The sequence below is a fragment of the Homo sapiens genome, chromosome 5, assembly GCF_000001405.40.
Source record: "Homo sapiens chromosome 5, GRCh38.p14 Primary Assembly".
Taxonomy (NCBI): domain Eukaryota; kingdom Metazoa; phylum Chordata; class Mammalia; order Primates; family Hominidae; genus Homo; species Homo sapiens.
The window spans coordinates 177,757,364-177,783,977 of NC_000005.10; the positions used below are offsets into that span (position 1 = coordinate 177,757,364).

General features: G+C 44.4%; 1 protein-coding gene across 10 annotated transcripts in view, besides 1 other annotated feature; it reads right to left on the bottom strand.

The window, feature by feature from the left end:
• Positions 1-26,062, bottom strand: part of FAM153A (family with sequence similarity 153 member A) — an 89,179-nt gene extending 63,117 nt beyond the window's left edge. For 2 of the 10 annotated variants that reach the window (XM_017009365.2, XM_017009363.2), the window contains exons 1-3: positions 25,380-25,557; positions 23,086-23,141; positions 9,787-9,817 (exon numbers count right to left, since the gene is read on the bottom strand). In XM_017009365.2, the coding sequence (XP_016864854.1) occupies positions 9,787-9,802 (16 nt within the window). In that variant the 5' untranslated portion in view covers positions 9,803-9,817; positions 23,086-23,141; positions 25,380-25,557. Of the gene's footprint in view, positions 1-3,073; positions 3,115-5,953; positions 6,148-9,786; positions 9,818-23,085; positions 23,142-25,379; positions 25,558-25,920 lie in introns of those variants that run through there. The other 8 variants (NR_146226.2, NM_173663.5, NR_146227.2 and 5 more) reach the window with 6 other exon arrangements.
• Positions 3,632-3,832: a silencer, noted in NCBI's record as "peak5597 fragment used in MPRA reporter construct". NCBI's record gives its function as "represses an SCP1 promoter by STARR-seq MPRAs in K562 erythroleukemia cells {active_cell/tissue: K562}" and the evidence as "EXISTENCE:reporter gene assay evidence [ECO:0000049][PMID:32103011]".
• Positions 26,063-26,614: the final 552 nt, after the last annotated feature.

Genomic DNA, 26,614 nt, shown 5'->3' on the forward strand with positions numbered 1-26,614 from the left:
CCAGATGGATTCACAGCCGAATTCTACCAGAGGTACAAGGAGGAGCTGGTACCATTCCTTCTGAAACTATTCCAATCAATAGAAAAAGAGAGAATCCTCTCTAACTCATTTTATGAGGCCAGCATCATCCTGATACCAAAGCCTGGCAGAGACACAACAAAAAAAGAGACTTTTAGACCCATATCCCTGATGAACATCGATGCAAAAATCCTCAATAAAATACTGGCAAACCGAATCCAGCAGCACATCAAAAAGCTTATCCAACACGATCAAGTGGGCTTCATCCCTGGGATGCAAGGCTGGTTCAACATACGCAAATCAATAAACGTAATCCAGCATATAAACAGAACCAAAGACAAAAACCACATGATTATCTCAATAGATGCAGAAAAGGCCTTTGGCAAAATTCAACAGCCCTTCATGCTAAAAACTCTCAATAAATTAGTTATTGATGGGACGTATCTCAAAATAATAAGAGCTATGTATGACAAACCCACAGCCAATATCATACTGAATGGGCAAAAACTGGAAGCATTCCCTTTGAAAACTGGCACAAGACAGGGATGCCCTCTCTCACCACTCCTCTTCAACATAGTGTTGGAAGTTCTGGCCAGGGCAATCAGGCAGAAGGAAATAAAGGGTATTCAATTAGGAAAAGAGGAAGTCAAATTGTCCCTGTTTGCAAATGACATGATTGTATATCTAGAAAACCCCATCGTCTCAGCCCAAAATCTCCTTAAGCTGATAAGCAACTTCAGCAAAGTCTCAGGATACGAAATCAATGTACAAAAATCACAAGCATTCTTATACACCAATAACAGACAAACAGAGAGCCAAATCATGAGTGAACTCCCATTCACAATTGCTTCAAAGGGAATAAAATACCTAGGAATCCAACTTCCAAGGGATGTGAAGGGTCTCTTCAAGGAGAACTACAAACCACTGCTCAATGAAATAAAAGAGGATACAAAGAAATGGAAGAACATTCCATGCTCATGGGTAGAAAGAATCAATATTGTGAAAATGGCCATACTGCCCAAGGTAATTTATAGATTCAATGCCATCCCCGTCAATCTACCAATGACTTTCTTCACTGAATTGGAAAAAACTACTTTAAAGTTCATATGGAACCAAAAAAGAGCCCGCATCGCCAAGTCAATCCTAAGCCAAAAGAACAAAGCTGGAGGCATCATGCTACCTGACTTCAAACTATACTACAAGGCTACAGTAACCAAAACAGCATGGTACTGGTTCCAAAACAGAGATATAGACCAATGGAACAGAACAGAGCCCTCAGAAATAATGCCACATATCTACAACTATCTGATCTTTGACAAACCTGACAAAAACAAGAAATGGGGAAAGGATTCCCTATATAATAAATGGTGCTGGGAAAACTGGCTAGCCATATGTAGAAAGCTGAAACTAGATCCCTTCCTTACACCTTTTACAAAAATTAATTCAAGATGGATTAAAGACTTAAATGTTAGACTTAAACCATAAAAACCCTAGAAGAAAACCTAGGCAATACCATTCAGAACATAGGCATGGGCAAGGACTTCATGTCTAAAACACCAAAAGCAATGACAATGAAAGCCAAAATTAACAAATGGGATCTAATTAAACTAAAGAGCTTCTGCACAGAAAAGAAACTACCATCAGAGTGAACAGGGAACCTACAGAATGGGAGAAAAATTTTTGCAATCTACTCACCTGATAAAGGGCTAATATCCAGAATCTACAAAGAACTCAAATTTACAAGAAAAAAACAACCCCATTAAGAAGTGGGCAAAGGATACGAAGAGACACTTCTCAAAAGAAGACATTTATGCAGCCAACAGACACATGAAAAAATGCTCATCATCACTGGCCATCAGAGAAATGCAAATCAAAACCACAATGACATACCATCTCACACCAGTTAGAATGGTGATCTTTAAAAAGTCAGGAAACGACAGGTGCTGGAGAGGATGTGGAGAAATAGGAACACTTACACTGTTGGTGGGACTGTAAACTAGTTCAACCATTGTGGAAGAGAGAGTGGCAATTCCTCAGGGATCTAGAACTAGAAATACCATTCGACCCAGCCATCCTATTACTGGGTATATACCCAGAGGATTATAAATCATGCTGCTATAAAGACATGCACACGTATGTTTATTGTGGCACTATTCACAATAGCAAAGACTTGGAACCAACCCAAATGTCCAACAATGATAGACTGGATTAAGAAAATGTGGCACATATACACCATGGAATACTATGCAGCCATAAAAAATGATGAGTTCATGTCCTTTGTAGGGACATGGATGAAGCTGGAAACCATCATTCTCAGCAAACTATAGCAAGGACAAAAAACCAAATACCACATGTTCTCACTCATAGGTGGTAATTGAACAATGAGAACACATGCACACAGGAAGGGGAGCATCACACACCGGGGCCTGTTGTGGGGGGGAGGGATAGCATTAGGAGATATACTTAATGTTAAATGACAAGTTAATGGGTGCAGCACACCAACATGGCACATGTATACATATGTAACAAACCTGCACGTTGTGCACATGTACCCTAAAACTTATAGTATAATAAACAAAAAGTAAAAAATAAAAAAAAACAAAAAAAACTGCATTAACATAGATGTTGCATTTTTTTTCAGGAATTATCTAATTGAAGGGGTGGTTAACAGAATTTGGGAAGGAACACATATTACCTGTGTAAATGGAGAATTTTAATTGTCAACAACTGAATAGAAAATTGGGCAGGTGTGCACATATATATATATACACATATATGAGAGAGAGTGAGAAAACTCAATTAAAAAATACCAGACCACAGATTTATATCTCTTAATGCCAAATTGGGAAAGACCTTTTTTTTTTTTTTTTTTTGAGATGGAGTCTTGCTCTGTCGCCCAGGCTGGAGTGCAGTGGCACGATCTCGGCTCACTGCAACCTCTGCCTCCCAGGTTCACGCCATTCTCCTGCCTCAGCCTCCCGAGTAGCTGGGACTACAGGCGCCCGCCACTGTGCCCAGCTAATTTTTTGTATTTTTAGTAGAGACAGGGTTTCACCGTGTTATCCAGGATGGTGTCGATCTCTTGACCAAGTGATCCACCCGCCTCGGCCTCCCAAAGTGTTGGTATTACAGGCGTGAGCCACTGTGCCCAGCCCCTGGAAAAGACATTTTTAAAAACAGAATATGTTAGGAAGAATAAAAAGGAATGAGCATAAGGCTTTCCTTCCTGGTGCCACCTAAGTGTTCACAGTAAATGAAAATAAATGAGTCTTTTACACTGGTAGCCAAAGTCCTTTGACAAAGCTTTGTCACGGTGTCAGTGCTATATGATTGTTCAATTAATAAATCTGGAAAGATGTGCAGAAACTTAACAGTTGTTACTTCCAGAGGCAGAAGCTGGCAGGCTACAGAAGAGGAAAAGACAAGTCCAGATTTCGGTGTGCATTCTTCTGTACCTCGTGAATGTCCTACAAGTGTGTTATTCCTGATGTCTTTACTGTGATTATTTTTAAATAAAAAAAACTAATACCCCCAAATGCTGGTAGAAAACAAACATTTCAATTTGCTAATGCTTCACAGGGACAAGAATTCAGGTAAGACACAGAAAAGATAGCTTATTGGTCCTTGTTGATGTCTGGGGACTGCAGAGAAGTCTTATGAAGCGGGACTGAATCCACAGCAGGAGGTTGGAATCATCTGGATATGCCATCATGCACAGGTCTGCAGAGGAACTTGGGCTTGGCTGGAGAACTTACATGACTACCACCCACACTTCCACACCCACTCAGCCCAGCTGCAGCAGCTTGGCCAAGATAATGGGCGCTCCTGCTCAAACGAGATTTCCCAGCTTTTGCGGAGTTCATCACCAGCCTCGCTAGCAGCGAATTCCCACTTCTATGCAAAGGAAACTGCCAACGAGGTTACAATCAATTTTTTTTTTTCCTAGAGTGAGGCCTGGCCGGAAAAGGGCAGGCCATCCTAGTGGCCTGTGAATGACCTTGTGAGGGTCACCAGGCCCCCTCGGCTGCAGGGCTCCAGAGCCCTCCCCTGGCCGACTACATCATGCACTGGCCCTAGCCTGGGGTGATGAGGCCAAGGCATCACCAGCTTTGACCCTGATGCCTCTGGCCTGGGCAACTGTCCCCTGTGCACTCAGCAATGCACATGCTAATTTAATCCAATCTGTCAGCCCAGGCACCTGGAGCGGAAATGGCCTGCCCACTTTTGCCCCACCCCAGCCCCTTTTCAACATTAACCTTGAGAGTTTGTGGCGCGTTCTTTGTGAGTGGGCCAGCTCCAGGTGCTTCACCCACATCGCGTACTTCATCAAAACCACTGTCAGAGGTAGGGCCTGTTAGGATCACTGTCTCACAGAGGAGGAAACTGAGGCAGAGACCGGGTAGGTACCCCAACTGAGGACACACAGAGAATAAGCTAGGATGGAACCTGCTGGCAGGCCCGGACTCCTCTGCTCAGTGACAGCCACGCAGAGAAGCCAGGGCACCTTAAGCTGCCATCCCTGTGCCACTTACCCACCTGCTTGTGGCCCAGGCCAAAAACATCCCCATAAATAACCATCCGCAGCTGCCCTCAGCCTCCTCTAGAAGGCAGGTGCCCCAGAAGCTTCCTCACAAGCTCTTTGACATTTCAGCGATATGTGGGTGGCTGAGGAGCCCTGAAACCAGGTGAAGGTCTGGGAAGGTGAGACGGGGGATTTAGCTCAGGCAGTGCCCTCTGGCAGGGGCAGGCACTGCAATGGGCACCTACTTGGGAGGAACACCTGACGTGGTTTTCCCGATGCTCGATGCTCGGGGCCTCACACTCATCCTTGCTGGACATAGAGAACTAACTGAGCTTCGAGGGGTCCTTCCCTCAGACCTGCCAGGTCCTGGTGCCACCAAACACTTAAGAATGTGGACGTGACAAAGTTAAAGAGGTGAGTGCCTGTGCACACCAGTGACATGGGACTTACAGCTGGGGACGGGTCAGGGCAGCCCTGGGGGAGCAGCTGCCATATGGGGCACCCCCTGCAGTGACAGTATCAGATGTGTCTCCACCTTCCCAGGGTAGACTGTGGGGTAAAGCTGGGCTCCTCTGAGACCCACTGCAGCTCTGGGGCAGAAAGGGGTCTGGATATATCGTCATCACAGGCTGAGAGGAGCAATGTGGGTGATGTGGCAGTCAAGGTCCCAGGCGGGGCTGACATGGACTCTGGAGCAGAGTCCAAGGGGAGCTTGGGAAGTGAGCACAAAAAGGCCTGAGGGTCTGTTGGGGTGGAGGGTAAAAAGAAATCTGGAAACCTCTAGAGCAGATTCCAGCCCAGCACAGACTGAAGGTCACACAAGCCCAGGGCACAGCCAGGCAGCCCAGTGCTGGGGCACAAGTCCCCTGCATCTGCACACTGCTATACAACCTCAGAAACCTCAATTAAAACAGACCTCAACTTCAAGAGCAAAAATTTCCATAGCTGCTCTGGGCCCAGTGAGATGGCATGTGAACATGTGGCCTGGGGCCAAGGAGGATAGCTGTGAACACCTGTGCCGGGACCAAGGAGGATGGCTGTGGACACCTGGGCTAGGCCCAAGAGGACAGCTTGGAATAACTGGGATGGGCCCAGAACGTAGGGCTACGAACACCTGGGCTGGCCCCAATGTGGACAGCTAGAAACCGCTGGTATGCGCTCAGGAGTTCTGTTCATTTTGGCTGAGCCAAAGGAAGACACGTGTGAACATCTGCACTGGGCCTAATTAAGACAACGGTGAACAGATGGGCTGTCCCCATTGAGGATGTCTGTGAAACCCTGGCCTGGGACCATGGAAACTGCTGGAAACAACTGGGAGAAGTCCTGTGACAAAAGCCATGAACACCAGGGCTAGGCTCAATGGGGACAGGTGTGGACACCTGGGCTGGGCCCAGTGTGGATGGCTGTCGGTACCTGGGATGGCCTCTATGAGGGTGGCTGGCTCCAATTAGCACACGTGTAAGCAAACTGGCTGGCCTTGATGAGGACGGCTAGGGACATCTGGGCTGGCTGTCACGTGGATGACAGAGATCTTCTTGGCTGGCTTAGATGAGGACCACTGTGAACACCGGCGCAGGCCTGGATGAAGACAGCTGGGAAGCCCTGGGCTGGAAACAATGAAGACAGCTATGAACAGGTGGCCTGGGGCCAGTGAAAATGGCTCTTAACCCTGGGCTTGATGTTACTGAGGGGTAGCGTGAACTCCTGGGCCTGCCTTGATATTGACAGCCATCAAAAACTGTTGCTATAATAAACTGAGTTCATACAAACAAGGAAGGCTGTGAACCCCTGGGCTGACCTTGATGGGGATGGCTGCAAACACCTGGCCTGGGCCCAGTGAGGACAGCTATGAAGTGCTAGGCAGGGCCCAGCGAGGTCAGCATGGAACTCCTGGGCTGGCCCAATAAGGATGTCTGTGAACACTGGTCTGGCCCACTGAGGACAAGGACTAACACCTGGGCTAGCTACCAATGAGGATGGCTGTGAACGCCTTGGCTGGGCCCTCTAAGGATAGCTTGGAGTGTTTGGACTCGGCCCAGAGTAAACAGCTGTGAAGCCCTGAGCTGGGCCCAGTGAGGGTGGCTATGGAAACCTGGGCTGGGCCAGTGAGGACAGCTGTGAACACCTGGCCTGGGTCCAACGAGAACAGCTGAGAACACTTGGGCTAAGCCAATAAGGACAGCTGTGGCACCGGGGACGATTGCCCTGAAGACAGCTGTTAACATCGTGGCTGGTCGCCTTGAGCACAGCTATGAATGTCTAGGCTGGGCCCAATGAAGACAGCCAAAAACACCTGCCCTGGTTTCAGTGAGAGCCACTGTGAGCACTTGGGCCTGTCCCCATGAGGATGCCTATGAACAGCTGGCTGGGCCCAAGACGAATGGCTCTTGACACCTAAACTCAGCCCTAGAAAGATGCTGTGAACAACTGGGCTAATCCCACTGATGACGACTATTAACGCCTGGGCTGGGCCCAAGTGAGGGCGACTTCGGCTGGACCCGGAAAAAATGGCTGTGAACACCTTGGCTTTGCCTGATGAAGATGGCTATGAACCCATGGCCTGGGCCCAATGAGGAAAGCTGTGAACACCTGCGCTAGCCCCAGTGAGGGAAGCTGGGAAAACCTGGGCTGGGCCCAGTAAAAGCAGCAGTGAACAACCAGGCTGGCCTCAGGAGGACAGCTTTGAACACTGAAACTGATCATGATGAGGATGGCTGTGAATACCTGGGCTGGCCCAGATGAGGAGCACCATTAACTCCTGGGCTCGCCCCCAATTAGAACAGCCATGAACACCTGGTCTTGCTCAAGTAATGATTGCGAGGAACAACTAGGCTCAGCCAGTGAGGACAGCTGTGAACCCCTGCACTGAGACAAATGAGGATGGCTGGGAACACCTCAGCTGGCCCCAGTGAGGATGGCTATGGATACCTGAGCTGTGCTCCATGGGGATGGCAATGTACACCAAGGTTCGGCCAAGTGACAGTTCTGAGAAACCTGGCTGACACCAGTGAAGACCGCTGTGAAAGCATGGGCTGCTCCCAGTTAAGACAGCTTTGCATACCCGGTCTGGGCCCAGTCAGATCGAGTGTCAACATCTGGCCTGGGGCCAAGGAGGATAGCTCTGAACACCTGTGCTGGACCAATGAGGATGGCTGTGGACACCTGGGCTGGGCCCAAGGAAACAGCTTGGAATAACGGATTGGCCCAGAATGCATGGCTACCAACACCTGGGCTGACCCCAATGTGGAAAGCTATAAATACCTGATGTGGGCTCAGGAGAACAGCCTTGTTCCTTTTGGCTGAGCCCTGTGAGGCAGCTATGGGCATCTGCACTTGGCCTAATAAAGACAACAGTGAACATCTGGGCCATCCCCATTGAGGACACCTGTCAACACCTGGCCTGGGACCATGTGAATTGCTCGGAACACCTGGATTAAGTCCAGTGAGGAAAACTATGAACACCCGGGCTATGCCCACTGAGGACAGCTGTGGACACATGGGCTGGCCCCAGTGAGGATGCCTGTAAATACCTGAGACGACCTCTATGAAGGTGGCTGGCCCCAATAAGCACGAGTGTGAACAAACTGGCTGGCCTCGATGAGGACGGCTAGGGACATCTGGGCTGGCTATCGTGTGGATGGTAAGAGAACACCTTGGCTGGCTTAGATGAGGACCACTGTGAACACCTTTGCAGGCCTGGATGAAGCCAGCTTTGAAGCCCCGAGCTGGGCACAATGAAGACAGGTATGAACAGGTCATCTGGGGCCAATGAAAACGGCTCTCAAACCCTGGGCTTGATGCCATTAAGGAGAATGGCGAACACCTGGGCTTGCTTTGCTTTTGATTGCTATGAAAAACTTAGCTCATGCAAATGAGGACCTACAGTTGTGAGCCACTGTGCCCCGACCTACTTTGTATTATTAAAACACATGCCAAACCGGGCGTCGTGGCTCTTGCCTGTGATCTCAGCACTTTGGGTGGTGGAGACGAGTGGATCGAGGTCTGAAGTTCAAGGCCAGCGTGGCCAAGATGCTGAAACCCCACCTCTACTTAAAATACAAATACTACCCGGGTGTAGTGGCAAGTGCATGTAATCCCAGCTACTCAGGAGGCTGAGGCAGGAGAATCGCTTGAACTCGGGCGGCAGAGGTTGCATTGAGCCAAGATTGTGCCACTGCACTCCAGCCTGGGCAGCAGAGAGAGACTGTCTCAAAAAAACAAAATAAAACAAAAAACAAACAGAAAAACATGCCAATAGGATAAAAAAAAAAAAGAAAGACAAGTACTGAGCTTCAAAATGAGTTGAAATCTCCTTTCTGCCACTTCCTATATATAAAAAAACTATCCTAATCTCTTTGAGTCTCACGTTCTCTATCTAGAGAAACACTTGACCAGAATGTTTAACACAGGTTAAAGTACTAGAGGTTATTTTAATTGGTCCTATGATTCCTTAAAATTCTGTAATTCTATGTGCTTTTGATTCTGTCTATAAGAAAACTGGGAATACATAGTCAGCAGATTTTGAAAAAATAATATAACGAAAGACCAAGAAAAGCAGAGAAGAAAGTTTTACAACATCAAGACAGGATTATAGAAATGTCATGGAAAAAGGAAAAAGTCTAAAAAAAAGTATTATGGAATTAAGCAGAAATACTAGCCTAAAGGGAAAACCAAACTGGGAAGTCAAATAATTTCTGAGACTTGTCTAATCTTGCTTTTGTAAAATTATAATCCTATGGCGAAACCTTTACTTTGCCCTAAAGCCTTTGATGGTAAAATAAGATATTGGCTACCACTGAAACTGTCAAATTTATGAGGAGAAACTCTTGGACTAACCACATTTCTAACAATAACCTTAAATGAGAGTTAACATACAACCAGATTTGACTGTCTAAATTAATCTGATTCAGACGTGTACCTTGATCCAAGTGCTGCACAGATTTCTATCAATCTATGCTGAGGAGCAAGATAAGGGATCTGGAAGCCAGACAGGCTGATGGTTTAACTGTGGGTCAGCTACTTTGTTAACTACGGGGTCATGAGCCAATTAATCAACCTCTAAACCACAGTTGCCTATGTAATAAACAGTAGGTTATAAGAACACAGATGTTGCAATGGCTTTATGGGATGATAAATGCATAGCACACAATAGGGGTTTAGCCCAGAATACAACACTCAACAGATATGAATCTCTTCCATCTATATTTCCTTAGTTAACATATTTTTTTAAATCTGTAAAATCCTACCTGACTGCATATTCATCAGAACTCCCAGAATCTATTAAAGAAAAAGGTATACTGCATTATAAATCAATAATAATTGTATAGAATATTAAAAGCATAAGAAGGCACAGTGATACATGCCTGTATTCCCAACTACTTGGGAGGCTGAGGCAGGAGGATCACTTGAGGAACCCAGAAGTTTGAGGCCAGCTTGGGAAACAGCAAGACTCTATCTTCACAAAAAAGTTATGCACACTTGTGTGCAGACTTCAGACCATGTTTTTTTCTTTTCTTTTCTTTTCCTTTTTTAAAGCATAGGACTGATGCTTTGTTATATAGCATTCCTTTGGGAGCATAACCGGGACCTTATTAGAATTAATATTAATTATACCTATTAGTAGATAATTAATGCAGTAAGAACTCTTACTTCCCTTACTTTGTATTTATTAAATGCAAAGAAGAATAAATTTATAAAATTTGATATCTACAAGTGAACCGCAGTATACAAGTTATCCTAGCCAAACCCTGTGAGATTGACTAAAAATGGTATTGTTAGCAGAACAGGTGTGATGAATGAACAGTGTCAAAGAGCATGATTTCAGGACCAAAACATGACGGGCAGTTCAAACAGAGTATACAGTAGTACCCCTTGTCCACTGTATGTGTGGAAAAGACACATTTGACCTGTTTTTCTCTGCTGTCACGTCACAGCAACAATCATCAACAAAGAAGTCTCCTGTGACAAAACGTGTGGAGGGTTTTTCTCCACCAACAAGTAAGCAATCATTTCTGCAGATGACACAAACTGGGCATCCTCTAAGTCAATTCTCACACTCTATCTGCAGATAGCATCAGATTGCACAGGTAAAGGGCTCAGTCCCATGAAACTGCCTCCCTACATCAGTTGTAGGTCTGAAACTCCAGAACTTCTGGCCAACTGTCTTCAAATTGGGGTTCCCAGGACTCCCTCTTTGGGTTAAATTGAATTGCTAGAGTGGCTCAAAGTACTCAGGGAAACACATTTACCAGTTTTCTATGAATGACATTACAAAAGATACAGATGAAGAGATGCATAGTGCAAAGTATGGGGGAGGTGGCACAGAGATTCCATGCCCTCCCAGGACACACCACCCTGTAGGAGCCTCCATGCATTCAGCCATCTGGAAGCTCTCCAAGCCCAGTCACTTTGGGTCTTGATGAAAGCTTCATTATATTGGCATCACTGATTAATCACTGGCCTTTGGTGACTGACAACCTTCAGCTCTTCTCTCCTCTCCAGAGTCTCCTGAATGAGACAGAAGATCTCAACACTCTAATCAATCATGTCTTCAGGATGGTGACCAGTTCCCATCCTGAAGCTACCTAGGGGCTTCCAGCCATGGATCATTAGCATACAAAAAAACATCACTTTGGAAATCCTAAGGATTTTAAGAATTGTACCCAACAAATGAGTTAAGATCCAGAGATTTTACATCTGCAGTTTTGATTTCTGTGGTTACAGTTACTAATAGTCAACTGTATTCCAAAAATATACACGGAAAACTCCAGAAATAAAGAGGTCATAAGTTTTAGTGTGCCATTCCGAGAAGCACAGTGAAACCGTCAGCACCCTCTATCCAGCCCAGGATGTGAATCGTCCTGCAGTGCACCCACACTGCACATGCTGTCCACCCGTTAGTCATCAACACGGTCTCCTCCTGTACCCTGCCGCCAACATCAAGGCCTGACTATCTAGGATCACGTCATTCACCTCAGTTCATCTCATTACATGGGCATTGTATCACTTCACATCATCACAAGAAAAAGGGTGAGAACCAGCCGGGTGCAGTGGCTCACACCTGTAATCCCAGCACTTTGGGAGGCCGAGGCGGGCAGATCACGAGGTCAGGAGATCAAGACCATCCTGGCTAACATGGTGAAACCCCACCTCTACTAAAGAAATCCAAAAAAAAAAAAAAATAGCCGGGCTTTGTGGCGGGTGCCTGTAGTCCCAGCTACTCCAGAGGCTGAGGCAGCAGAATGGTGTGAACCCAGGAGGCAGAGCTTGCAGCGAGCCGAGATCACAGCATTGCACTCCAGCCTGGGCGACAGCGAGACTCCGTCCCAAAAAAAAAAAAAAAAAAAAGGGTGAGAACCGTGCAATATATTTCAAGAGACCACATTCAAGTAACTTTTATTACAGTATAATTTTTTATTTTATTGTTCATTTCTTACTGTGCCTAATTTATACATTAAATATTATCATGGTTATGTATGTGTAGGAAAAACCAGTGGGTGATTCAGTACTATTTGTGGTCTCAGGCATTCACTGGGGGTGTCTTAGAACGTTATCTCCCATAGTTAATGGGGAACTACTGCACTTATTTTGTTGTAACACAACACAGCCTCTCTAGCTCTTCAGTTAAAACTTTTCAGTTTAGAATAAAACTCCCTATCACCAGCAGCCAGCAGAACATAGGAATCAGACCAGCAACAGGGATCCTTGCAAAAACTTTCCAGCTGCCAGTGGAGAAGAGCTCAAGAGAGCTCAATGTGTTACTCTGGATACTACTCTTCTGGGGAAGGTGCTGGGTGGTTTCCTTAGTTGTAGCTATATACTCTGCCCTACGTATAACAAGGCCCAAATTCACCTGCCATTTTACCTCCCACAGAAAGAACCACTGGAAAGATCACTCCTTTAAGAGCTTATCCACTCGGAACCACGCCTCACATTCAGAGAGAAGCTTAAGAAACACCGGCGTGGTGTGCCAGGCTGCCAGGCAGTACTATATGATATGAAAAATATACAGAAAGAAAACTATCAATGCCCTCTTGCTGCCAGAATGTTCCAATGCTTGCCCCTTTCCCTAGTAGGAGAAAAAAATTCTTTTTCACCTCACACAAAGCAAAACTGCCGTCCCTCACGACACAGAATCTAGTTGCAGGTGAGTCATGTCATCATAACACAGACTGTTTTCAAACTCATCCCTCAAAGGAAGAGGATCAGTGAGGAACATATGTATTTATCTATAACATTCACTGCCTGGTCTTATTTCCAACCCAAGGTAAGTATGAAAGACTTTGTGATTCCAGTTTTTTAAAGTACAACCTCTTGAGCTTCTCCCCTTCCATTGCTAGGGAGTCTATCTGGACCCACCTCACTGGAGCAAGATGCTCCAGTTTGTGCTGTGTGGTATTGCATGGTGTCATTTTCCTCAACCCTTTCCATTATGTGGCAAAGGCCTATACAAATCATGTTTCCTAAGTATGTAAAGCATATGTCATCAGACCTTACAAAGACAAAGAAGCTAAAGAAAAACAAAAGGACAAAGAACATCTTAAATGACTACATTCAATTACCATGGAACTTTACTTTTTTAACTATTCAAAAAGATATCCACTGTATTATTTCAACTATATGACTCTCCTGAAAAAAGTAAAACTATGAAGACAGATAAAAGATCAGTGGTTTCCAGCAGCTGCTAGGGAGAAAGGGAGAGATGAACAGGCAGAGAATAGAGCATTTTTAGGGCAGTGAAACTGTTCTATCTATAATAAATAGACACATGTCATTATACATTTGTCCAAATTCACAGAATGTACAGTATTAAGAATGGAGCCTGATGTCAACTATGAACTTGGAGTGATTATAATGTGTCAATGTAGGATCATCAGTTGTAACAAATGTACCACTCTGGTGGAAAATACTAATCATGGGGGAGGCCGTGCATGTGTGGGAGGCATGGAACATAGGAGAAATCTCTGTACCTTCCTCCGATTTTGCTGTGAACCTAAAACTGCTATAAGAAATAGAGTTATTGATTTAAAAAACATATTCATTGTCTGTGCATCCCAGGATTTCCAGAACAAAAATAAAAAATAAAAGATATTCACTGAATCTGTTATTATGATATATTTAAGCAGGACACAGTGGTAACCCTAAAAATTGGAGATCATTAAAGACCAAAGTAACAGCATGTGGGCATGATTTCTCAAATTGCAGTATAGAAAATACATAAAACAAATAAATTCAATTGCAAGCTTAGGCAAGAAAATATTGATAAAATGATTGAATATCTTATTTCATAACTCTAAACAGGGATTTAGCACGACATGAAAACTAGATTCACATAATCAAAATAAAAGACCATTTTTATTCTAATTTTAACTCAGAAATTATTATGCTTATTCAATTTAACCCTTTCACTGAAAGGTTAAAGAGATAAGAAGGACAGATTATAATTGCTTAATATTGCTATGGTAACTTCCATTCAAATACCTGTGAGTCACCAGAAGTCAAAAAAGTAGCCAGCATTGCAACACAGGATGGATCATGCAAGAGAAACTAGTACCAGGTTACCTTATCTTATAATATTATTTGCTGTTAAAATGAAATTTTAAAACAGCACCAAAAGTTAAGTTGGGGCTAAAACTGTTGTGCAGGAAAGATTTCATATAGCAGGAGAGAGACTGCCGTCCTCAGAAAGACCCGCATGCAAGCCTGGCCCTTGGCTGTTGTTTAGGAAATTGGAATTGGGAGGGTTCCCACCATGCCCTAAGACTGGTCACCGTGTCTAAAGTGTTTATAGAAACAATGCGGTTACTTCTGAGCAGCTGCTTTCCTTCTGAAGGTCGGAATGTGGGTACATGTGAGGGAGAGTAACCTCCATATAAAACACTTGGGTACTGAGTCTCTAATGAGATTCTGGTACTGGTAGACATCACTGCACATGGGTTGTCAAAATGTGAGGCTGGGGGAATTAAGCAGATCCTGGGAACTCCACAGGAGAGAACTTCTGGAAGCTTGTGCCTGGTTTCCTCCAGACTTGACCACCACATGCACCTTTTCCCTCTCATTTTGCTTGTACTCTTTCATTGTAATCAATTAAAGATCTGAATATGATTATTTGCTGAATCCTGTGAGTCCTTCTAGTGAATCACCAAACCTGGGGGTGGTCTTGGGAACCCTTGTCACAAATGCATTATATAAGGTTTTCATTAAGTTGACATGACCTATAATCAGATGGTTATTTCACAGAATAACTTTCCCTAATCTGTTTTTCTTTTCTTTCCTTGATATTTGACTTGGAGGTTCTTGTATTTCTATACTCAACTGATTAAAGCCATAAAAGAAATAAGTGGGGGGAGGAGCCAAGATGGCCGAATAGGAACAGCTCCGGTCTACAGCTCCCAGCGTGAGCGACGCAGAAGACGGGTGATTTCTGCATTTCCATCTGAGGTACCGGGTTCATCTCACTAGGGAGTGCCAGACAGTGGGCGCAGGCCAGTGTGTGTGCGCACCGTGCGCGAGCCGAAGCAGGGCGAGGCATTGCCTCACCTGGGAAGCGCAAGGGGTCAGGGAGTTCCCTTTCCGAGTCAAAGAAAGGGGTGACGGACGCACCTGGAAAATCGGGTCACTCCCACCCGAATATTGCGCTTTTCAGACCGGCTTAAGAAACGGCGCACCACGAGACTATATCCCACACCTGGCTCAGAGGGTCCTACGCCCACGGAGTCTCGCTGATTGCTAGCACAGCAGTCTGAGATCAAACTGCAAGGCGGCAACGAGGCTGGGGGAGGGGCGCCCGCCATTGCCCAGGCTTGCTTAGGTAAACAAAGCAGCCGGGAAGCTCGAACTGGGTGGAGCCCACCACAGCTCAAGGAGGCCTGCCTGCCTCTGTAGGCTCCACCTCTGGGGGCAGGGCACAGACAAACAAAAAGGCAGCAGTAACCTCTGCAGACTTAAGTGTCCCTGTCTGACAGCTTTGAAGAGAGCAGTGGTTCTCCCAGCACGCAGCTGGAGATCTGAGAACGGGCAGACTGCCTCCTCAAGTGGGTCCCTGACCCCTGACCCCCGAGCAGCCTAACTGGGAGGCACCCCCCAGCAGGGGCACACTGACACCTCACAAGGCAGGGTATTCCAACAGACGTGCAGCTGAGGGTCCTGTCTGTTAGAAGGAAAACTAACAACCAGAAAGGACATCTACACCGAAAACCCATCTGTACATCACCATCATCAAAGACCAAAAGTAGATAAAACCACAAAGATGGGGAAAAAACAGAACAGAAAAACTGGAAACTCTAAAACGCAGAGCGCCTCTCCTCCTCCAAAGGAACGCAGTTCCTCACCAGCAACAGAACAAAGCTGGATGGAGAATGATTTTGACGAGCTGAGAGAAGAAGGCTTCAGACGATCAAATTACTCTGAGCTACGGGAGGACATTCAAACCAAAGGCAAAGAAGTTGAAAACTTTGAAAAAAATTTAGAAGAATGTATAACTAGAATAACCAATACAGAGAAGTGCTTAAAGGAGCTGATGGAGCTGAAAACCAAGGCTCGAGAACTACGTGAAGAATGCAGAAGCCTCAGGAGCCGATGCGATCAACTGGAAGAAAGGGTATCAGCAATGGAAGATGAAATGAATGAAATGAAGCAAGAAGGGAAGTTTAGAGAAAAAAGAATAAAAAGAAATGAGCAAAGCCTCCAAGAAATATGGGACTATGTGAAAAGACCAAATCTACGTCTGATTGGTGTACCTGAAAGTGATGTGGAGAATGGAACCAAGTTGGAAAACACTCTGCAGGATATTATCCAGGAGAACTTCCCCAATCTAGCAAGGCAGGCCAACATTCAGATTCAGGAAATACAGAGAACGCCACAAAGATACTCCTCGAGAAGAGCAACTCCAAGACACATAATTGTCAGATTCACCAAAGTTGAAATGAAGGAAAAAATGTTAAGGGCAGCCAGAGAGAAAGGTCGGGTTACCCTCAAAGGGAAGCCCATCAGACTAACAGCAGATCTCTCGGCAGAAACCCTACAAGCCAGAAGAGAGTGGGGGCCAATATTCAACATTCTTAAAGAAAAGAATTTTCAACCCAGAATTTCATTTCCAGCCAAACTAAGCTTCATAAGTGAAGGAGAAAGAAAATACTTTACAGACAAGCAAATGCTGAGAGATTTTGTCACCACCAGGCCTACCCTAAAAGAGCTCCTGAAGGAAGCACTAAACATGGAAAGGAACAACCGGTACCAGCCGCTGCAAAATCATGCCAAAATGTAAAGACCATCGAGACTAGGAAGAAACTGCATCAACTAATGAGCAAAATCACCAGCTAACATCATAATGACAGGATCAAATTCACACATAACAATATTAACTTTAAATATAAATGGACTAAATTCTGCAATTAAAAGACACAGACTGGCAAGTTGGATAAAGAGTCAAGACCCATCAGTGTGCTGTATTCAGGAAACCCATCTCACGTGCAGAGACACACATAGGCTCAAAATAAAAGGATGGAGGAAGATCTACCAAGCAAATGGAAAACAAAAAAAGGCAGGGGTTGCAATCCTAGTCTCTGATAAAACAGACTTTAAACCAACAAAGATCAAAAGAGACAAAGAAGGCCATTACATAATGGTAAAGGGATCAATTCAACAAGAGGAGCTAACTATCCTAAATATTTATGCACCCAATACAGGAGCACCCAGATTCATAAAGCAAGTCCTGAGTGACCTACAAAGAGACTTAGACTCCCACACATTAATAATGGGAGACTTTAACACCCCACTGTCAATATTAGACAGATCAACGAGACAGAAAGTCAACAAGGATACCCAGGAATTGAACTCAGCTCTGCACCAAGCAGACCTAATAGACATCTACAGAACTCTCCACCCCAAATCAACAGAATATACATTTTTTTCAGCACCACACCACACCTATTCCAAAATTGACCACATAGTTGGAAGTAAAGCTCTCCTCAGCAAATGTAAAAGAACAGAAATTATAACAAACTATCTCTCAGACCACAGTGCAATCAAACTAGAACTCAGGATTAAGAATCTCACTCAAAGCCGCTCAACTACATGGAAACTGAACAACCTGCTCCTGAATGACTACTGGGTACATAACGAAATGAAGGCAGAAATAAAGATGTTCTTTGAAACCAACGAGAACAAAGACACCACATACCAGAATCTCTGGGACGCATTCAAAGCAGTGTGTAGAGGGAAATTTATAGCACTAAATGCCTACAAGAGAAAGCAGGAAAGATCCAAAATTGACACCCTAACATCACAATTAAAAGAACTAGAAAAGCAAGAGCAAACACATTCAAAAGCTAGCAGAAGGCAAGAAATAACTAAAATCAGAGCAGAACTGAAGGAAATAGAGACACAAAAAACCCTTCAAAAAATCAATGAATCCAGGAGCTGGTTTTTTGAAAGGATCAACAAAATTGATAGACCGCTAGCAAGACTAATAAAGAAAAAAAGAGAGAAGAATCAAATAGACACAATAAAAAATGATAAAGGGGATATCACCACCGATCCCACAGAAATACAAACTACCATCAGAGAATACTACAAACACCTCTACGCAAATAAACTAGAAAATCTAGAAGAAATGGATACATTCCTCGACACATACACTCTCCCAAGACTAAACCAGGAAGAAGTTGAATCTCTGAATAGACCAATAACAGGCTCTGAAATTGTGGCAATAATCAATAGTTTACCAACCAAAAAGAGTCCAGGACCAGATGGATTCACAGCCGAATTCTACCAGAGGTACAAGGAGGAACTGGTACCATTCCTTCTGAAACTATTCCAATCAATAGAAAAAGAGGGAATCCTCCCTAACTCATTTTATGAGGCCAGCATCATTCTGATACCAAAGCCGGGCAGAGACACAACCAAAAAAGAGAATTTTAGACCAATATCCTTGATGAACATTGATGCAAAAATCCTCAATAAAATACTGGCAAACCGAATCCAGCAGCACATCAAAAAGCTTATCCACCATGATCAAGTGGGCTTCATCCCTGGGATGCAAGGCTGGTTCAATATACGCAAATCAATAAATGTAATCCAGCATATAAACAGAGCCAAAGACAAAAACCACATGATTATCTCAATAGATGCAGAAAAAGCCTTTGACAAAATTCAACAACCCTTCATGCTAAAAACTCTCAATAAATTAGGTATTGATGGGACGTATTTCAAAATAATAAGAGCTATCTATGACAAACCCACAGCCAATATCATACTGAATGGGCAAAAACTGGAAGCATTCCCTTTGAAAACTGGCACAAGACAGGGATGCCCTCTCTCACCGCTCCTATTCAACATAGTGTTGGAAGTTCTGGCCAGGGCAATCAGGCAGGAGAAGGAAATAAAGGGTATTCAATTAGGAAAAGAGGAAGTCAAATTGTCCCTGTTTGCAGACGACATGATTGTTTATCTAGAAAACCCCATCGTCTCAGCCCAAAATCTCCTTAAGCTGATAAGCAACTTCAGCAAAGTCTCAGGATACAAAATCAATGTACAAAAACCACAAGCATTCTTATACACCAACAACAGACAAACAGAGAGCCAAATCATGGGTGAACTCCCATTCACAATTGCTTCAAAGAGAATAAAATACCTAGGAATCCAACTTACAAGGGATGTGAAGGACCTCTTCAAGAACTACAAACCACTGCTCAAGGAAATAAAAGAGGACACAAACAAATGGAAGAACATTCCATGCTCATGGGTAGGAAGAATCAATATCGTGAAAATGGCCATACTGCCCAAGGTAATTTACAGATTCAATGCCATCCCCATCAAGCTACCAATGACTTTCTTCACAGAATTGGAAAAAACTACTTTAAAGTTCATATGGAACCAAAAAAGAGCCCGCATTGCCAAGTCAATCCTAAGCCAAAAGAACAAAGCTGGAGGCATCACACTACCTGACTTCAAACTATACTACAAGGCTACAGTAACCAAAACAGCATGGTACTGGTACCAAAACAGAGATATAGATCAATGGAACAGAACAGAGCCCTCAGAAATAATGCCGCATATCTACAACTATCTGATCTTTGACAAACCTGAGAAAAACAAGCAATGGGGAAAGGATTCCCTATTTAATAAATGGTGCTGGGAAAACTGGCTAGCCATATGTAGAAAGCTGAAACTGGATCCCTTCCTTACACCTTATACAAAAATCAATTCAAGATGGATTAAAGATTTAAACGTTAAACCTAAAACCATAAAAACCCTAGAAGAAAACCTAGGCATTACCATTCAGGACATAGGCGTGGGCAAGGACTTCATGTCCAAAACACCAAAAGCAATGGCAACAAAAGACAAAATTGACAAATGGGATCTAATTAAACTAAAGAGCTTCTGCACAGCAAAAGAAACTACCATCAGAGTGAACAGGCAACCTACAACATGGGAGAAAATTTTCGCAACCTACTCATCTGACAAAGGGCTAATATCCAGAATCTACAATGAACTCAAACAAATTTACAAGAAAAAAACAAACAACCCCATCAAAAAGTGGGCGAAGGACATGAACAGACACTTCTCAAAAGAAGACATTTATGCAGCCAAAAAACACATGAAGAAATGCTCATCATCACTGGCCATCAGAGAAATGCAAATCAAAACCACTATGAGATATCATCTCACACCAGTTAGAATGGCAATCATTAAAAAGTCAGGAAACAACAGGTGCTGGAGAGGATGCGGAGAAATAGGAACACTTTTACACTGTTGGTGGGACTGTAAACTAGTTCAACCATTGTGGAAGTCAGTGTGGCGATTCCTCAGGGATCTAGAACTAGAAATACCATTTGACCCAGCCATCCCATTACTGGGTATATACCCAAATGAGTATAAATCATGCTGCTATAAAGACACATGCACACGTATGTTTATTGCGGCACTATTCACAATAGCAAAGACTTGGAACCAACCCAAATGTCCAACAATGATAGACTGGATTAAGAAAATGTGGCACATATACACCATGGAATACTATGCAGCCATAAAAAATGATGAGTTCATATCCTTTGTAGGGACATGGATGAAATTGGAAACCATCATTCTCAGTAAACTATCACAAGAACAAAAAACCAAACACCGCATATTCTCACTCATAGGTGGGAATTGAACAATGAGATCACATGGACACAGGAAGGGGAATATCACACTCTGGGGACTGTGGTGGGGTCGGGGGAGGGGGGAGGGATAGAATTGGGAGATATACCTAATGCTAGATGACACATTAGTGGGTGCAGCGCACCAGCATGGCACATGTATACATATGTAACTAACCTGCACAATGTGCACATGTACCCTAAAACTTAGAGTATAATAAAAAAAAAAAAAAAAAAAAAAAAGAAATAAGTGAAGCAATTGTTAGAAAATAATGGGAAATAAGCAGCAATCCTAGTTTTACCAGAATAAAAAATAGGGAATCTTGATGATTGACAATATGTTCTACAATATGAATGTTTCTAGAAAAAAAAAAAAATGAAAAGGTGGTCAATTTTCTGCAACTCAACTGGGCTTAATTCCTTTTTATAATAATTGTGCAGGCCAGGTGTGGTGGCTCACATCCATAAAATCCTAGCATTTTGGGAGGCCAAAGCAGGAGGATCACTTGAGCCCAGAAGTTCCAGACTTCCAGACCAGCCTGGGCAATATAGTGAGGAAAAAAAAAACCTTAAAAGGAAAATTAGCCAAGTGTGGTGGGGCATGCCTGTAGTCCCAGCTACTTGGGAGGCTGAGGTGAAAGAATCATTTAAGGCCAGAAAGCAGAAGTTGCAGGGAGCCAAGATAGATCCCACCACTGCACTCCAGTACTGGCAACAGAGGGGGACCTGTCTCAAAAAATAATAATAATAAAAATGAATAAATAAATAAACAAATGATTGTGTATCCAGCTAGATGTAACTACACATAGCTACAATCCCAGCTACTCAGGAGGATGAGGTGGGACGACTGCTTGAGCCCAGAAGTTCCAGGCTACAGTGAGCTATGACTGTACCACTGAATAGACACCATATTCTAGCCTGGGCAACATAGAGAGAGCCCATCTCTTATAATAATGATAATAAATTAATTGTGCATCATTCAAGTAACTTGCATAACTGGAAAAAAACATAACCATTGAATATAGTATAATAGTATAACTACTGATCATAGAGTTCCTTTTACTTGCTTCTAATCTTTTCATTTCTTATAAAACTAAAATATGGTTGACCCATTCAAGGCAGTTCATCACAGAACAAGTCAAAAAGCCAAAAGAATTGCATGCAAGCTGTAGGCTGTGTTATCCACTACTCCCTGCAAGCAGTGGATTTGGTCATTAACAATCAGCAGGACTTTTAACTTTGTGTGCGTGTGTGTGTGTGTGTGCGCACCCGAACGCACATGTGTGTATGTGCACGTGTGTGTGTAAACTATGACAGATAAAACCATTTTGCTTATGTAAGAATATGTAACATAACTTGTGCTTCTCACAAAGGAATTGCTTTTCTGTCTTCTGCACTCAGTAGGTATCTTCAAAAAATAATCTCCTATTCGTATGGGTGCACACTGGTTCACTTTTACAGTTCTTACTGCCATTTATTTATTCTACGAGAAAGGGATTGTTGAGTTCCCGGTTCTAAAGATACTTCCTTAGTGACACAAATTAACAGGTAATACAGTTCACCCTTGAACAGCAAGGGTTTGAGCTGCAGGAGTTCATTTATATGCAGATTTTCTTCTGCCTCTGCAACCCAGAGACAGCAAGACCAACCTCTCTTCCTTCTCAGCCTGAACAACCTGAAGATGATAAAGATGAAGACCTTTGTGAGGATCCATTTACGCTTTATGAAAAGTCAATATATTTTTCCTGCAGATTTTCTTTCTAACAGCTTCACTTGTCTAGCTTACTTTATTGTAAGAACACAGTATATAATAATGCAGCACAAATAAAATAGGTGTTAATCGACCGTTTATGTTATCAGGAAGGCTTCCAGTCAATAGTGGGCTATTAGTAGCTAAATTGGGAAAATCAAAAGTTATACTTAGATTTTCAGCTGCACTGGAATCAGAGCCCCTAACCCCCACATTATTCATGGGTCAAGTGTAATTATGTATTTACTAAATATAAACAATTTATTATAAAAATAAACAACTTATTACAAAAATGAACTAGAAGATCCATATGTATAACAAGTCCAATTTGTTACAATGTGACTATAGAGAAAACATAAATATTATATAGGATTTTCGGGATCATAATTAAGTAAATGATTTTTTTTCAGATAATACTGTTTGAGATTATAAATCAGCTACAACTACCTTCTTAAATAACTCTTAATTCCAAACTAAAGAAGTTAAATATAAGAAACTAATTTACATGTATGTATATATGTATATATACATGCAATTTACACATCTTTTTAAACTTTTCTTTTCCTTCAAAACTACCTTAATCTTACATCTTAATTTTTTTAAACCAAGAGTAGGACCACCATGAGAAATGAGAAATTCACTATCAGAAGTCTTACCTGGATTGTAAGTTTTAAGAATCTTCTTTTTAAGTTCCAAAATTTGGTGTCGAATTCTGTATATAAAAAAGTAATAAATAAAATTGCTATTTTAATACTGAAATAAAAGTTACCATATTAAATTCTTAATGTTTGGTAAATGTGTAATCAAACTGATTCTTTTTTCCTCGCTGGCTAAAACAAAATACATCTTCGCACATCAACGTACTTCTATATCTATTGTCACCTTTGATGGTCACATATTATTGCATCCTATGGATGCAACTGAAATTTACTTATAAGATCCATTCTATGGGTTCTTTTTAAAATAAGTGCTGTGAAAAACAAAGTGCATGTATCTCTATTTCCCAAGGGTATTTTAGTATAATGGAATTGAAGGGTAACGGGCATACGCATTTTTAAAATATAGTACTTACCACCAAATTATCTATTTAAAAAGTAATCAGCAACTTAAACTTCAGGCAGCAGTATAAAAAACATCCTCACACATTGTGGATAGAAAACAGTTTCATTCCTCTTTTAATTTAAATTCTTATACCAGAAAAGCAAAGGCTTTTTTTCCTATTTACATAAGAAACTTGTAGATCTGCAAAAAAGTACTTTGCCCCCTTTTACAGTTTTTGATTATTTGATTTGAAAGAATTCCCTGTAAAATGAAGATGCACTTTTCAGGCCGGGCGCGGTGGCTCACACCTGTAATCCCAGCACTTCTGGATGGCGGCTCACTGCAAGCTCCCCCTCCCGGGTTCACAGCATTCTCCTGCCTCAGCCTCCGGAGTAGCTGGGACTATGGGCGCCCACCACCACGCCCGGCTATTTTTTTTTTTTTTTTTTTTTTTTGTATTTTTAGTACAGACAGGGTTTCACCGTGTTTGCCAGGATGGTCTCAATCTCAATCTCCTGACCTCGTGATCCGCCCACCTCGGCCTCCCAAAGTGCTGGGATTACAGGCCTGAGCCACCGCGCCCAGCCCTAAAATTTTTACAAATGTCATTACAATAGTAAAAGACAGTAGGTGTCATGCAAAAATGTTAAAACCTTGATTTTTTCATTCGGCTTATGTAAAATTGATAATCACAGAAAGAGCTCACATTTTGAGAAAAATGTGTCTTCCCATTCAGGAACACAGAACCCACCTCCCACTTCCAAGTTTCCTTCTAAGAACCTTCAGTAAAGAACCGATCTACACAGGTGGATACGGATGTAAAACGGACAGTTTTAGGTGAGAGCTTTTCGCTACTGAAAATGACTCACGGTTTTTTGTTTGTTTGTTTGTTTTTCTTTTTTGGAGACGGAGTCTCGCTCTGTCGCCCAGGCTGGAGTGCAGTGGCGCCATCTCGGCTCACTGCAAGCTGCGCCTCCCGGGTTCACGCCATTCTCCTGCCTCAGCCTCCCGAGTAGCTGGGACTACAGGCGCCCGCCACCACGCCCGGCTAATTTTTTTTTTTTTTTTTGTATTTTTAGTAGAGACGGGGTTTCACCGTGTTAGCCAGGATGGTCTCGATCTCTTGACCTGGTGATCCGCCCGCCTCGGCCTCCCAAAGTGCTGGGATTACAGGCCTGAGCCACCGCGCCCGGCCGACTCACGGTATTTTTTGATAGAGGAATGAGTTCTCTCATTAGGCACCTCCTATAATGTATATAACACCATGTTTTAAACGTGTAGGTTAAAAATAACACTGTGTATGCTTAGCTTGGTGAGTTAAATCACTCACATTCTCCACCAAGCGCTCCAGCTGGGGAATTATGGGGGATGCAGAGCAGCTGAGGCTCCGTTTGGCACCACCCCTCTGAGGGTGCCCTCTGAGGCCCCATCCCAGGGGCTGCGGGGAAGCCGGGCCTGGGGACCCCCTCCCACCCTGGGCTGAGCCCCCACCCCACTGCCTGTGCTGCCTGTCCCCGGCTTCCAGGTCTCTGCTCCTGCGCGCCAGGCAGCGCTCCACTTCCGCGGCTTCGCCCTTGACAGCGCCCTGTGGATCTTCCGATTCGGTACCCCGAACCCCTGTAGACGTGGCCTAGGGAGCCCCGGACCGCCGGCCCCTGCGGCTCCCAAAGCCGAAGAACTTCTTCAAGGTGGTGAGTTCTTCTCAGACCCCCAACCACTGGCTCCTGAGCCGCGGCAGCTCCGTGTCACCTTTTCACTCCCCCTCGCCCCACACCCAGCCCCAAATCCCCAATCCAACTCCAAATCCCCTATCCAACCCCCAATCCGCGATCCAAACCCCAATCCGTGATCCAACCCCCAATCCGTGATCCAACTCAAAATCCCCGATCCAAATCCCAATCCGCGATACCAAGTCTGCGATCTAGCCCAGAATCCGCGATCCCGCCTGGTCCACCCTTCAGCAGCGACACTGGCGGCCTCCGACCTCTCAGACCTAGTGAGCCTCGCAAAGCCGCCCGGCTCCCGGAAGCCGCAGGTGCAGGCGCCGCTGGGCTCGCGGGTTCTCCTGGGCTGGCCAGGGCTGCCCCAGGACCACGGACGGAAAATCGCAGGCGCGCGGCCCACCCCGCCTTAAGGGGAGGGCCCGCCTGGCCGTGTAGCCCGCCCCGCTCCTCCTTCCGAAGAGAGATCTGGTGCTGGCATGGGCACCCCGCGGCCACCGGAGTGGCTTCCCGGATGAGCCTGGCTTCGGCGCTGACGCTCTGGCCCTGGGGGCTGCCTGGCTGGTGTCAGGTAGCGGAAGACGCCTGGAGAGTCACTCGCTCCTTCCCCCACCCGCCCCCACCGCTGCTCGTGCCAGGACGCGCAGTTTGCAGTTGCAGCTCTGGCACTGGCGCGGGATGGCGGAGCTTCCCTTGGATGGCGTCAGGGTCACTGAGTGCACAGCCTACCTGGTCTGAGGGTCTGCTCCTCCTGGACACCTCTCCGGATCCTGATCCCTGGCGCTGGGCAATCCACAGGATGAGACTCATCGGCTGCTGGCGAAGCCGACCGCCTGACTTTGCTGCCTGGGCGGCTGGCCCCGGGATCCGCGCTGCTGGGGACGCGGGCCTGGTCTGCGGTGTCCAGCCACTTGCTGCGGGCGCGCCACGTCTAGGCTGGTGGCTGCAGCCGCAGCTCCGCGCCTGCGGGGGCTAGTGGGCCTGGTACCTGATGTCCTCAGGGTCAAGTGCATCGCTCCCCCACCTGAGGGTCTGCTCTGCCTTGACCTCCTCCAAGAGCGCAGGGGCCACCGGGGAGGCAATTTAGGAATGCCTAAATGGAAGGAACTATCCTTTCTCTGTCTTTAAGAAATAAGTGGCTTTTGTTGTTGTTTTTGTGATACCCAGCTACAGCAGAAAGCAAAGGGGATGCAGAGGTGAAGGTCCACAGCCAGTTCCTCTACTGATTCCCTCCAGGCATAAATGTTCAATCTAACGGCTTTGGTTGGCACTTTCACCTCAGCACTTACCTATGCCTACAGGTTTGTTCAATGGCAACTCTTGGATTTTGAATTAATACCCAATTATTTCATATTTTAATACCCAAACTATTTTAATAGTTTACCATATCTGCAATCCTGAATTAATTTTTTCTTTGTTTATA